A 14,159-nucleotide genomic window follows, 5' to 3' on the forward strand; every position below is an offset into this window, starting at 1 on the left:
ACTATTTTACTATGAGTTATATATAGTTTAATGTAAGCCTTATAAATATCATAGATTCATATTTTGTCCATTCTTAGAGAGTTGGCAGGAGATTTATAAAAAGAAATTTTATAAGTAAAATAAACAGAAAATACATCAATATAAAGAACTGATAGCATCATAAAATTAGAAAGGAAAAGAAATAATGAAGAGAGAAAGATCGAAAAAAACCCTGAATGACTTGATTGCCTATAAAACTATGTGTAAACTCTTCTATCTGGCATTGAAATTACCTCAAAAATTTGTTCCTTACTCCCCAAACTAATTTTCTCCTTACTCTACTATGGGAAGATTTTGTTCCAGCCAAAACTGCTAATTAGCTAGCCACAAAAATGTGTCATGCTTTCCTTCTCTGCCTCCATTATCTTCTTTGTGTATCCAAAGCCAAATCTTAACACTCCACTCCAATGCTATTTCTTTAACAAGCTTTGTGTGATCCTCCTGCTTCAGAATAAAAACCTACTCCTCAGAGCACCTGAGGCATCTACTTTTAACGTGCTGTCATTTGTATCAGCTGTTTTAATATAAATCTTCTTCTTGTAAGGGCAGTTGCTACTTAGCTACACCCTTTGGTCACCATCCAGGTGTTAGAGTCCATGCTGACAGATCTTCAGAGTTTTTAGAAAAGATCAATGTGAGATTTTTCTGTGATTTCCTTTATTATTAAATGATGGTTTAATTTAAATAAAAATCACCACCATACAAGCTAAAATACATCTGCAGCACGACAGGATCCTTGGGTTTCCACTTTCAGACCTTTGTCATAGAGCATCATGTTTGCAGAAAGAAGGAAGAAAAAAAAAGAATTGAGTAAAAACTTCCTTTTCAAAGTCATATAGTCAATGCTTGTGTGTGATTCTGTTCCCAGGTATATAGAAATCAACCTACCCACCCATGGGTAGAAAATAGGTCTTAATATTTATTAGCTCTTCTAACCACATGGATCTTAATGGGCCATGTAATAGGAAGTCCCAGCTGGGACCCGTGCAAGTCCTGTGTTTTATACAGAATGTAAACATCTGTCTAGTTGGAGAGAGAACACGCTCACTTTCTTTATGCCCCTCATTAACTTTCTGAGGTAGGGTTGATTGTTTCGGAACTTTTGGGTGAATGTGAATATTATACATGACAATTTCATTTATATAGTGTGTAATGTAATATGCCCGCATAGAGACTATCACATCATGCCTTTCAACCAATCCGCCTACATTTAATATATATTTGTGATATGTATGGCTCAGTGTTTGGTGGTGTAGGCAGAAACACATAGGAAGAGGAGAAGACTTACATTAATTGAAAACCTAGTGTGTGCCAAGACATTTATTCTCTTCAACTCATTTTATAAACAGAAAACAGTTTAAGAATCTCAGATGTTTTGAATAGCATGGAAATATACACATTAAAAATAGTTGACAACACAACAGTGCATTGAATATCATATACCGTGGATGGTACAAATAGCATGGATGACAGTAGCTTGCAGCAAGGGGACATTACCTTAGGCAGGATTGATCATGGAAAACTTCATGGAAGAGTTAAGCTTTGGAACTGACTTGGATGAGGCAATAGAAATAAATCCCCATTTGGCAGTGCAGTGGTTCTAAGAAGTTAGAGGAGATCATCTCTTTTTTCCTAAGAGCTATCTTCTTCAAATGATCGTGTAGTTTGAAATAATTTCCTAGAACCCAATACCACATTTTATAATGTAGAAAAAATACACATTCTTGAGTAAACTTTAAATTGTTCATATATATGTATATGTGTAATATACATATACATTTATAGATAATCTGTTCTTCTAATTCTTTTTTAAAGTAAATAAAGAATAAACTAAAAATTAAAAGTTCCCTCCCACTGCATGATATTTGGCCTGTGTGATCTAATAATGTACGATGGAAGTGATGATGAGTGACCTTTGATCCTGGGTCATAAAGGGAATTGTGACTCCCTTCTAGCATCATAAAAGGCATTACAGCGTCCACCTTGGTCTCTGGGATCACGCATTAAGGGAAAAGCTATCCATTATGTCATAAGGACTCTTAAGTAGCTCATGTTAATTGAATACCTCCTATGTGCCAAGAACTGAGGCCTCCCACCAAAGGCCAGCACTAACTTGCCAGACATGTGTATGAGCCACCGTGTTAGTAGATTCTCCACCTCTGGAGGAAGGTTTCAGATGGCCACAGCCCCAGCTGGCACCTTGACTGCTTTGGATGCCCCGAGTAAGAACTGCTTAGCTAAGCTGCTCCTGAATTCCTAACCCCTTCTTCTAGAACTTGAAATGAGGTCCTAAAGCACTTGCACAGAAGAGCCACAAAAACCTCAGATAGGGGGCAAGAGAAAGAGGATGGAAGAGCTATTAAAATTATTTGTTTCTTCACAGTCTTTCCCAGAAATATCTCTGAAATCACATGAGTCTTGGAGGGAGGCTTTGTCCCCTTCCTCTCCTCTGAGTAACTCGTTGTAGAGCCCAACAGTGCAAGATGTAGGATAATAGGAGGGATTATTTCCAGGGAGTACCAGTAATGATACTGAGCATGAAAATAGTTAAACAGGACAAAAGAAATACCTCAAACAGATCAATTGGGCAGAGAGCTGATGTACATATAAAAGAATTCCCATCTGGAAACCAGAGGGTTGAAGTTCTGAAGAAAACTTCAGGGCCCCAGCCAGACAGTGTCTGTCATGCAAAAGGCCTCAGTGATGGAAGGAACAGGAAATGTCATCAAAAACTAATGAGACTGTCAAGTTTCAGCTAGAATTAGATAAAAGCCTGCTTCACTTGCAGGGGACAGTCCTAGTTAGAAGATGAGGAGCCAGAACAAAGCTTGAAGAATTGGATGTTTAAGATAGATTTTTAAATCTCCTCTTATTCACCTATGCCTTCTATACTACATTTAAGGACAATAACTTCAAAGTACTCAGCAACCCAGAATAGTTGGCATTTCTCTTTGGAGAATGACTATTTTAAAAAGGCACCTGGAACCTCCCATTTCAAGGGGGAAAGATCACATACAACTTGAGAAACTGGTGCCCGTATAGGGACAAATTGGGGAAGATAATATCAAAGAGAAACAAATGGGAGTTTACATATGCGTGTGTGTGAATTTGACCTGAATATCAGCTTTGCTTTCTAAGCATGCTTGAAAATGTTTGTGGTAAAAGGATCAGGTGTAAACTTCTTGTTATATATTTTCTTAACATTTCAGATTAAAAGACACATACATGTTCAATCTACTACCTTTGGAATTATCCAATAACCACACCAATTTCCTATATAGGACTGAATTTTTCCTAGTCATAAGATGAAGAATGCAAATAGATCATTTACTAGAGGAATGTTAATAGGGCATGTTTCTTCCTCTTTTTTGAGACAGAGTCTCATTCTGTCACCCAGGCTGGAGTATAGTGGCATGATCTCGGCTCACTGCAAATTCAGCCTCCAGTTTCAGGCAATTATTGTGCCTCAGCCTCCCCATTAGCTGGGACTATAGATGCATGCCACCATGCCCAGATAGTTTTTGTATTCTTTGTAGAGACAGGATTTCACCATGTTGGCCAGGGTGGTCACAAACTCCTGGCCTGAAGTGATCCACCTGCCTTGAGCCCCAAAGTGCTGGGATTACAGGTGTGAGCCATTGTGCCTGGCCGGCCATGTTTCTTCTTTTACAATTTGCCTATAAATAGACCACATGACCACATGCTCTCTTAAGGTATTGATGTGCTCATGTTTTATGTACACACACACACACACACCCCTCACAGACACATCAGATTTTCATACTAAAAAATCAAGTTTGGAGGAAATTTTAAATTTTAGGCTAGGTTAGATACTACTTGAAATTTTGAAGGGTATTTTAAACTCTCCATATACATCCCTGGGGTAAAGCAGTGACAGGGGCCACATTTGCCTTTCTTTGATGCCCTTGGGTCCTCCTTCTGCATCCACAGCTTTCTTCTCTGTCCTGCATCTCACTCCTCCTGGATACTTTCTATTACTGGTTTCCTCATTAGGACATCTCTGCATTTACAAAGCCCTCTTCTCCCATCAGAAAAAAATTGTTCTGATCCATCACTACAACTGTTTTTGTTGGAGGCGTAAATTTTCATTTTTTTGAAATTTCCTGTGTCGTATTTGTTGTAGCATGAAGAAAATGCAGTTGAGGCTTCTCTCCAGTTGCACCTTTTACCACGAAGGCTTATAAATAATATTTTGAAATTCATTTTCTTCCTCTCTTCTTTGTACCAATGATTGAAGTCTTTTTTCTGGCCATCATGATCTCTCACCTAGATATGATAATAGCTTCTAAATTTGTCTCCATGACTCTAGACTCTGCTTTCCTTAAATCTATCTTAGCCCAACAGGGTAATCATTGTAAGACTCAAGTCTGATTATGATATTCCCTCAGTTAACATCTTCTGTTATTCCTCATTACCTACATTATAAATACAAACAAAATACCTTAATATACAAGGCCTTTTACAGCCTGTTCCCAGCCTACTCTCCCAGACTCATCTTCCTTGACTCCTCATAGCCTCAGCTCTCTCTGTCTTCCCTTGGTTTCCAGATACTTGAAAGACTCTCCCAACCTTTAAGACATCCTTTGTTCTACAATATACTCAGTTTTTAACTCCAGATATAGATACTGCATTCAGATATAGAAAAATATGAAAAAATAAAAACTAGATCCCTCCTCTATTTTATATGCCCTGACTCATAGTACCATAGATTGTAGCCATCTCAGAACTGGCAGCAATCCCTTTGCCAAGTAAGAAAGAGTAACTTTATCAGGTGACTATTATACTATTAATTGATACATTTTCCTCTCATTCTCCTCCTCTGTCACAATTCTAAATTCATATATACAAAGTTTCAGTGAAGAACTGGAAAGAAAGCACATGGAGAAGATCACAAAAGTGGACACGGGCTGGACGCGGTGGCTCATGCCTGTAATCCCAGCACTTTGGGAGGCCGAGGTGGGTGGATCACGAGGTCGGGAGATCGAGACCATCCCTGCTAACACGGTGAAACCCCGTCTCTGCTAAAAAAATACAAAAGATTAGCCGGGCGTGGTGGTGAGCGCCTGTAGTGCCAGCTACTCAGGAGGCTGAGGCAGGAGAATGGCGTGAACCCAGGAGGCGGAGCTTGCAGTGAGCCGAGATCATGCCACTGCACTCCAGCCTAGGCGACAGAGCAAGACTCTGTCTCAAAAAAAAAAAAAAAAAAAAAAAAACAAAAATAAAAAGGGGACATGGGCTGGACCAGTGGTATGTTGTATCCATATCCAGGCAGGTGAAGTCTCCACAATTAAAATACTCTTGGTATGACAGAGTCAAGAAAATCCCTGGCAATAATTTATCTAGAATTCTTAAAAACTTTTCATTCGTTCATAAAATCAGAGAGCCAGGTAATAGATACGGAAGACATTAAGTGGACCAGATTTGCTTTAGAAACAGAATTGTCCAGCTCTTTAGTTTTAGAACTGAGGAAGAGATTGAGATAACACCCAAAGTCACAGGAGGGAGAGAGAGAACCAATACTAAAAACAACCAATAAGGTTTTGGTCAGGCAGAATTTACTCTATTTGAAGAAAAATGTAGGAAACAAAAACAAAGTAACTAAAAACATGGGGATAAAGGGAAAACAATATGTAAGGAAAATAAAGTAGCATTTTATCCTTGAAACCAGGAAGAGAAAGTGCATGCCTTTGAAAATAATCTATTGCAGGAAACAGAATAAAGTATTTTTATAGACAGAAAAATTTAATAACAGCAGTATAGGAAACATGAAGAGCAAAATCGCTAAAGTGAGTTAAGATAGAGTATGAATTAATAAGGAAGAATTGCTAGAAAACTAACAATGAATGAACTTCATTAAATTTTACATTGGAGGAAGTGCACATAATACCACTGGTATTATGCACTGGTTATATGCAGGAGAAACTTGAGCTATTTTAGACTACAGAGATGATATAAAAAAGAAAACTATGAGATAGAAGGTACTATTTTTGAATAGATTGGGGGCTTAGTATGTGTCAGGTTTTGTATTAGTCCGTTTTCGTACTGCTATGAAGACATACCTGAGAGTAGGTAATTTATAAAAGAAAGAGGTTTGGCTGGGCATGGTGGCTCATGCCTGTAATCCCAACACTTTGGGAGGCCGAGGCAGGGGGATCATGTGGTCAGGAGATCGAGACCATCCTGGCTAACACGGTGAAAACTAAAAATTTTCACCGTCTCTACTAAAAATACAAAAAAGTAAAATTAGCTGGGCGTGGTGGTAGGCACCTGTAGTCCCAGCTACTTGGGAGGCTGAGGCAGGAGAATGGCGTGAACCCGGGAGGCGGAGCTTGCAGTGAGCCCAGATCGTGCCACTGCACTCCAGCCTGGGCAACAGAGTGAGACTCCGTCTCAAAAAATAAAATAAAATAAATAAAAGAAAAGAAAACTTACAATAATGGTGGAAAGGGAAGCAAACATGTCCTTCTTCACATGGTGGCAGGGAGAAGACGAATGAGAGCCAAGCAAAGGGGGAAGCCCTTTATAAAACTATCAGATCTCATGAGAACTTACTATTATGAGAATAGCGTGGGGGAAGCCACCCTCATGATTCAATTACCTCCCACCAGCTCCCTCCCACAACACATAGGGAACAACAATTCAAGATGAGATTTGGGTGACAACACGGCCAAACCATATCAGGCTTTATATAACATTTGCCTACCAGATATAATTTACATATAATACAATTAATCCTTATAACAACTCTATGAGATGGCACTATTATCTTCTGTAATTTACAGATGAGAAAATTAGAGTTTAGAAGGTTAACTTGTCCAAGCCTACACACATGGCAAGTAGAACTTGCCAAAACAAACCAGTTCCAGGTTAAGGAACTGTAATTAACTATTTTTATTTTATAAAAATCTCTATTGTGAAAGACTAAAACCATACTTGAAAGGCAAATGACACGCTGAAAAAAATATATGTAATGCCTATGACAACCAAAGACTTGTAATTAGCTATCATAACTATAAAAGAAAAACATGAGGAACATGAATTATTTAATAGAGAATGTGGTCTGAGGACATTTATAGACAAATAATAAAAGAAGAAACATAGCCAATTAGCATGCTTTTAGTAAATAGAAACTTTGCTGGTAATAAAATAATTCCGAAATAGGCAATTGAAATGATTTGTACATGTTTCAAATCAATAAAAAGGAAAAGAATGGTAATATCCTGTCAGCAAGAGGTGAAGACAGAAACACTTCACCTTTATTGATACTGGTAATAAAGATGGGCATATACATTTTTTGGATAGTAATGAACATTGTGAATGGAAAGCCTTTAAAAACTCATTTGACTTGTGAGCCGAAACACCTTCTATTGGAAATTCACACTTTTACAAGTAGATAATCATATATATTGATTACAGCGTGTTTCCTATTTTCCATACTATTGTTTATAATAGGGAAAATGGAAAATGTTAAGTATTAAATACACAATGGAGCATTTTTTAATGAAATAAATTTTGGATATTATGAATAAGTTATATCTGTATGTTTAGATGGGAAAAATGCTTCAATTACAATATGAGAAAAAATATAGAAAAGCATATATGCTATGATATTCCCTTTTGCTTATTTATGTTTTGTATTCTTTGCATAAAGGACATGGATTATTCATGTTAAAGTAAATAAAAACATCCCATGATAAGATGATTTAAATGTTAAGCATCATTAGATATTTAGCTTCTTTTTTTTTTTCAAGGAAAGCAAAAAAAAAAAAAAAAGTGTCCGACCCCTTAAACGTGCCATACTGGATTGGACCTGGAGGAATTGTCAGACTTTTCCTCTCTAGGTTGGCTTTTATAAGCAAAATGATGCAAATTAAGCACTGGCACAGCAACTGGCACATAGTTTATTTCATTATTATTGTTATTACCATTATCTGTATGATAGACTATTATATATATGAGTTTCTTAAGGAAAAATTATATATATTAAATATATGATCTTTGATTTAAAAAAATCCCAATAAAAAAGTTTCATTTTTCATCACTGGAATAGAACAAAGGTCCAGTTCCAAAAGTAGCTTCTTACTTTTCTGATAATACAACTCTAAGTCAATTCCATTGATTGACTTGCTAAGGACAATTAGAAAACACAGACCGCTGCAGGCCTGTATGCAGAAACTGGAGCCATTCAGAGAATGCAGTCCCTGCCAGAGTTGCCACCTGAGGCTGAGTAGGAGGAGTGGATGTACCCTGGAAGTCTCCCTTTTCCTGTCCCCTGATTCCTCCTGCCTGTGTCTTCCATGAGTCTAACCCAGTGGGAAGCCAGGTGATACGGGAATTTAGAGTACAGTTGTAGGGGAAAGGTCAGAACCAGATCTGAGGGAAAACAGATCCAGAAGCAGCACAGGGAGGCCACAAACTACGTAGGTAGATGCCATTTAGACTTATTGGTGGATCGCCATCTTTCAGAAGAGTCTAGGTTGAGGGGTTCAAGGTTAAGAGTGATCCACATATAGAGAGTCTATGGGCCACTGGTAGGTTCATTCTGGTCTGCCTGGAATAGCTTTATTTTATCCTTGTTGTCCTAGTAAAGTTTTAAATAACGCTATCTCCCTCAAAAATGTTCCGCTTTAAAAGATGAATCAATCATTGCCCTAACTATAGGAGTTTCTCTCAGATTCTTTGATTATTCTCAAGAGTTCTTCTCTGAAATTGATAGAACTAATGCCAGAAAGAGGATATATATGGCCACACTATCTACACTTGGAGACCCTACACAAAATGCAATTCCTTGTATAGTGAGCTCAAGATGCCCAGGAAAGAGTCTATGCAAAAATGGTACTTCTACAGTCTAATCGTCATAGGTTACTGCTAGAACATTAAGGTGTAGGTTAAATTTATTTAAATATCTGAAGCTGAAGATCTGAGAAATTAAAATCTTAGTTAACCAATGACAATACTTTTTTGTGACAAGGAGCTCTTATTCATAATTGTAGCAAAAACACAAAATATAAAGGAAACAATTTAGCAAGAAATATAATAGATGAGAAGAGGACAACCTCAGAACTTCTGTGATCAGAAAAAGGCTTTAGTCAAGAAATATCTATTCCTGACTAGAAAAACTCAATGTTCTAAAGTTATTTAGTACATAATTATTTGTAATTTGAAATCAATCTCAATTATAATTCAAAGACATTCTAAAGTTTGTTTGCAGGAATATCCTGAAAGTACTTGGAAAAGATAAATAATTGAGGAAGACTGTGGAGGAGGCTTATACCACCAGACTTTAAAGTATCTTAAAATGTTGTAAAAAATTAAAGCAGGGTATATTAGGAGCAGAAGTAAAATTCTGAAAATTTCAGAATGCATTCTATTATATGTAAGAGTATACTACATTTAAAAAGTTGACAAACATAATCCATAAAATAGTAGGTTATTGAATAAGTGATAGTGTGAAAAATAGCTAATTATAAAAATAAATTACAAATGTAGTGTATTACTTTGCTCAGGTTACTATAACAAAGTAACACAGACTATAAGTTTGTTTCTCACAGTTCTGGAGGCTGGAAGTTTAAAAACAAGATGACTGGCAATTCTATTTCTGAGGAGGGCTTTCTTCTTCTTCTTAAAAGGGTACTGTCCTTATAGGATTAGGGCCCCACCCTTATGACCTCATTTAACCTTTATCACCTCCTCACTGGCCCCATCTCCACATTAGTTACACTGGGGGTTTAGGACTTCAACTTATGAATTTTGTGGATCACAAACATGAAGTCCATGGCGTGTAGAAAACCTGGCAAATAAAGGTAAAATGCAACTATTAAATTGCTAGAAAAAAAGGTAAATAAACATAAGGGCTATTTGGGCTAAAGTTTCACCAGCATTTTAATGTTTACAGTTTTAAAATTAATAAAAACAGAAAATATTTTTAATAGAGTTAATTAATTTTTGGCTTCTAAATCCTCATTCTTGAAATTGAGATTTGAATAAATTTTACTTAAATACAAAGTGGCAGTGTAGAACAGAGCCCTCTTGCATTTGGATATTTAACTTGGAAATCATAAAGTAAAAGCACACAGAGTTTTTAAATGGCTGTGAAGTAGCACAGGCATTTCTAGGAAAAATATTTTGTTTTTCTAGGAATAAAATGAAGAAGCAGAAGAAAAAAAATTGATCATTCTTCCTGAAGGAAGTTAAAAACCTTATTTTGAGATTATTAAAATTACTTTGAATTATCGAAGGTACAGGTTTTTAGACAGAGTTCAAATTAGGATGGTTTCACTGTATTAATAGGTGAAGGTCAAAGAGAAAGGAAGTAGGGTGGGAAAAGGAAATATCCCTCTTAATTAGATGGGCTCAAAAGCTGGCCAGAAAAAAAAAATATTAGCATGCAGTTTTGTGAGATGACATGTAAGTACAAGGCAAAACAGTGAATGTTTTAACAGAGCTAAACTTTTAACTTTAAGGGAGGTCTAATTCTTTATTGCTGTGGTGTCTCTCATACTCAAAAAATGTTTGATATAGCTTTTTGGGAGAGCATTGACCTCACAGTCTGTGATACATTATCTTGGAAATATTGTCATTGGAAGCAAATATTCACCTTCTGAAGGTTACTTTTTATTTTTGCCTGATGATAAATTCTTCCCAGACTCCTGCTGATGGATAAAGAGATTGACTAGGCCAGGGAATGCTTGCTTAGGCATGAATGTTTGGTGGACGATGAGGATATTAATTTTCTTCTGTTGCATCAAAATTCTGTCAAAGATAATGCTGAGAGAGTAATGTGGTATATTGAATTGTAAGTTCATAATTATTTATCTCCTCTCCACCATTACCTTATTTATGTGTAGGCATTGGTTTCAAGCTTGGTCATATGACATGGCTTGGCTAATGATATGACTTTTGCCATACCTAAGAGAAGCTTTGAAGGTGCCCTCATGCGTTGACACTACCTCTTTAGTTCCTGCCTTCTGCCAAGAATGAACAGCATTTTCATTTAGTGAATGCCTCTTCAGCCTGGGTTCCAGAAGGAGAAGACATATAGAGTCTACTTGAGCCTAGTCATGTCCAGGAGAGTGGATGAGAGCCACAAAAGCCTATTGTTCTCGTGTTATATGCGCAAGAAGTTTTTATTAACTACTAAGATTTTGAAGTTGTAAGCTACTGCACAAAAACTGACCAGCAAAATGAATGGTGCCAGAAGTGGCATAATGCCAAAAAGAACTTTTAAATACAGGACTGATAAATATATAGGCAAGCAAACTTAGAAAGGAGGCAGAAAAATGTAGCAATCTATCTTATGCATTGGTAAAACATTTGGTAAAATAATTGCCTGCAATAAGTTGGAAGACAGAAAGTGCAGCTAATAAACTTGTGACTTTGGGCAAAGAGATACTGAGCAGAATTTTCATAGCATGAGTTGGTTGTCATTAGTGAAATTTGATTAGATATTACAATAAAGAATGAGCTAAGAGAAGAATTAGCCTGTTTCCAAGGAAGAAGAATGGGAAGAGAGATACTGTAATTCCAACATTCTAGGACTGGCAGTTGAAAGGCACACAGCTTTCTTATTTGACAGTAAACTATTGTCAAATTAAGACAGTCTCAAGGCAAAGAACCATTTAATGGTGTGACTCTTCCACCTTAAGACCTCTTGTTGGATCAAGATAGACTCAGAAAATTCTTTCTGTTGGACAAAATGTCTCAAAGACCCTAAATGTGTTGCTATCCCAAGGAATAATGTTAAACTTGAGGTGGCCAAAATTAACTATTGAGTAGCACAGTCCAGCAGAAATATATTGCAACCTACCACATATATAACCTAAAATTTTGCTAACCACATTTTATGAAGTAAAAAGAAACATGTAAATAATTCAATACATTTGCTAATTTTAAGATATATTAATTCAACATATACAGAATATTATAATTTCTTCATGTAACCAATATAAAAATATTAAGACCTCCATTTTTTGTACTTCTTGTTCAATATCAGATGTGTGCTTTATACTTAAATCTCAATTCAGACTAGTCACATTGCAAATGCTTAATAGCCATAGGTGACTAATGGCTACCCTATTGGACAGCACAGTTTTAGAGAACTGGGAATGTCAGAAAAACAATTATGTGGTTCCTGCAAAGGAAATGAATAGAATAACATAGGCCAAGAAAAGGGCAATAAAGTTTTTAAAAGAATTGTATTGCTAGAATGAACTTAAAAAGATTGTGACGATTCTTCAGTTGTAAATTGACCTTTCAGACTTCCCATGCCCAGTAAACAGTCTGATAACTGCAATAGATGTATTCCACTGAGATATTGAAGTTGTTTGGTGCCATATCCAAAGCAAACTAATGCAAGAAATAGTAAACATTTTTTTTATTATTATTATACTTTAAGTTTTAGGGTACATGTGCACAATGTGCAGGTTAGTTACATATGTATACATGTGCCATGCTGGTGTGCTGCACCCCTTAACTCGTCATTGACATTAGGTATATCTCCTAATGCTATCCCTCCCCCTCCCTCCACCCCACAACAGTCCCCAGAGTGTGATGTTCCCCTTCCTGTGTCCATGGGTTCTCATTGTTCAATTCCCACCTATGAGTGAGAACATGTGGTGTTTGGTTTTTTGTCCTTGTGATAGTTTACTGAGAATGATGATTTCCAATTTCATCCATGTCCCTACAAAGGACATGAACTCATCATTTTTTATGGCTGCATAGTATTCCATGGTGTATATGTGCCACATTTTCTTAATCCAGTCTATCATTGTTGGACATTTGGGTTGGTTCCACGTCTTTACTATTGTGAATAGTGCCACAATAAACATACGTGTGCATGTGTCTTTATAGCAGCATGATTTATAATCCTTTGGGTATATACCCAGTAATGGGATGGCTGGGTCAAATGGTATTTCTAGTTCTAGATCCCTGAGGAATCGCCACACTGACTTCCACAATGGTTGAACTAGTTGACAGTCCCACCAACAGTGTAAAAGTGTTCCTATTTCTCCACATCCTCTCCAGCACCTGTTGTTTCCTGACTTTTTAATGATCGCCATTCTAACTGGTGTGAGATGGTATCTCACTGTGGTTTTGATTTGCATTTCTCTGATGGCCAGTGATGGTAAGCATTTTTTCATGTGTTTTTTGGCTGCATAAATGTCTTCTTTTGAGAAGTGTCTGTTCATGTCCTTCGCCCACTTTTTGACGGGGTTGTTTGTTTTTTTCTTGTAACTGGATCCCTTCCTTACACCTTATACAAAAATTAATTCAAGATGGATTAAAGACTTAAACGTTAGACCTAAAACCATAAAAACCCTAGAAGAAAACCTAGGCATTACCATTCAGGACATAGGCATGGGCAAGGACTTCATGTCTAAAACACCAAAAGCAATGGCAACAAAAGACAAAATTGACAAATGGGATCTAATTAAACTAAAGAGCTTCTGCATAGCAAAAGAAACTACCATCAGAGTGAACAGGCAACCTACAAAATGGGAGAAAATTTTCGCAACCTACTCATCTGACAAAGGGCTAATATCCAGAATCTACAATGAACTCAAACAAATTTACAAGTAAACATATTTTTTAAAATAGCAAGCTTCAAGATAGGCTTTTAAGGCCTGGCGCTGTGGCTCATGCCTGTAATCCCAGCACTTTGGGATGCCGAGGCAGGTGGATCATGAGGTCAGGAGATCAAGACCATCCTGGCTAACATGGTGAAACCCTGTCTCTACTAAAAATACAAAAAATTTGCCGGTCATGCTGGCGGGTGCCTGTAGTCCCAGCTACTTGGGAGGCTGAGGCAGGAGAATGGTGTGAACCTGAGAGGTGGAGGTTGCAGTGAGCCAAGAGCATGCCACTGCACTCCAGCCTGGGGACAGAGCAAGACTCCATCTCAAAACAAACAAACAAACAAACAAAAAGATAGGCTTTTACTACTGCCAAACTATGCATAGCTCTCTCTCCTGACTTTGTTCTCTCCAACATACGTTTAAAAGTGAAAGCTTACCTCATTACACACCAGCAAAAACTACTATCATCTTACATTGGAAAAAGCAGAATTCATATCAGAAAGACCTGGATTTCAGTCATGATCT

General features: G+C 37.1%; 2 long non-coding RNA genes across 3 annotated transcripts in view; one reads left to right on the forward strand and one right to left on the reverse strand.

Moving 5' to 3' along the window:
- LOC105376604 (uncharacterized) overlaps nucleotides 1-1,806 on the reverse strand; it is a 46,463-nt gene extending 44,657 nt beyond the window's left edge. For both annotated transcript variants that reach the window (XR_931149.3, XR_007062638.1), the window contains exon 1: nucleotides 1,537-1,806. This is a non-coding gene — a long non-coding RNA (uncharacterized LOC105376604). The remainder of the gene's footprint in view (nucleotides 1-1,536) is intronic.
- LINC02742 (long intergenic non-protein coding RNA 2742) overlaps nucleotides 1-14,159 on the forward strand; it is a 162,086-nt gene that overhangs the window by 36,987 nt on the left and 110,940 nt on the right. The window lies entirely within an intron of this gene.

This window comes from Homo sapiens, chromosome 11 (genome assembly GCF_000001405.40).
Source record: "Homo sapiens chromosome 11, GRCh38.p14 Primary Assembly".
In the NCBI taxonomy this organism is placed as follows: Eukaryota; Metazoa; Chordata; class Mammalia; order Primates; family Hominidae; genus Homo; species Homo sapiens.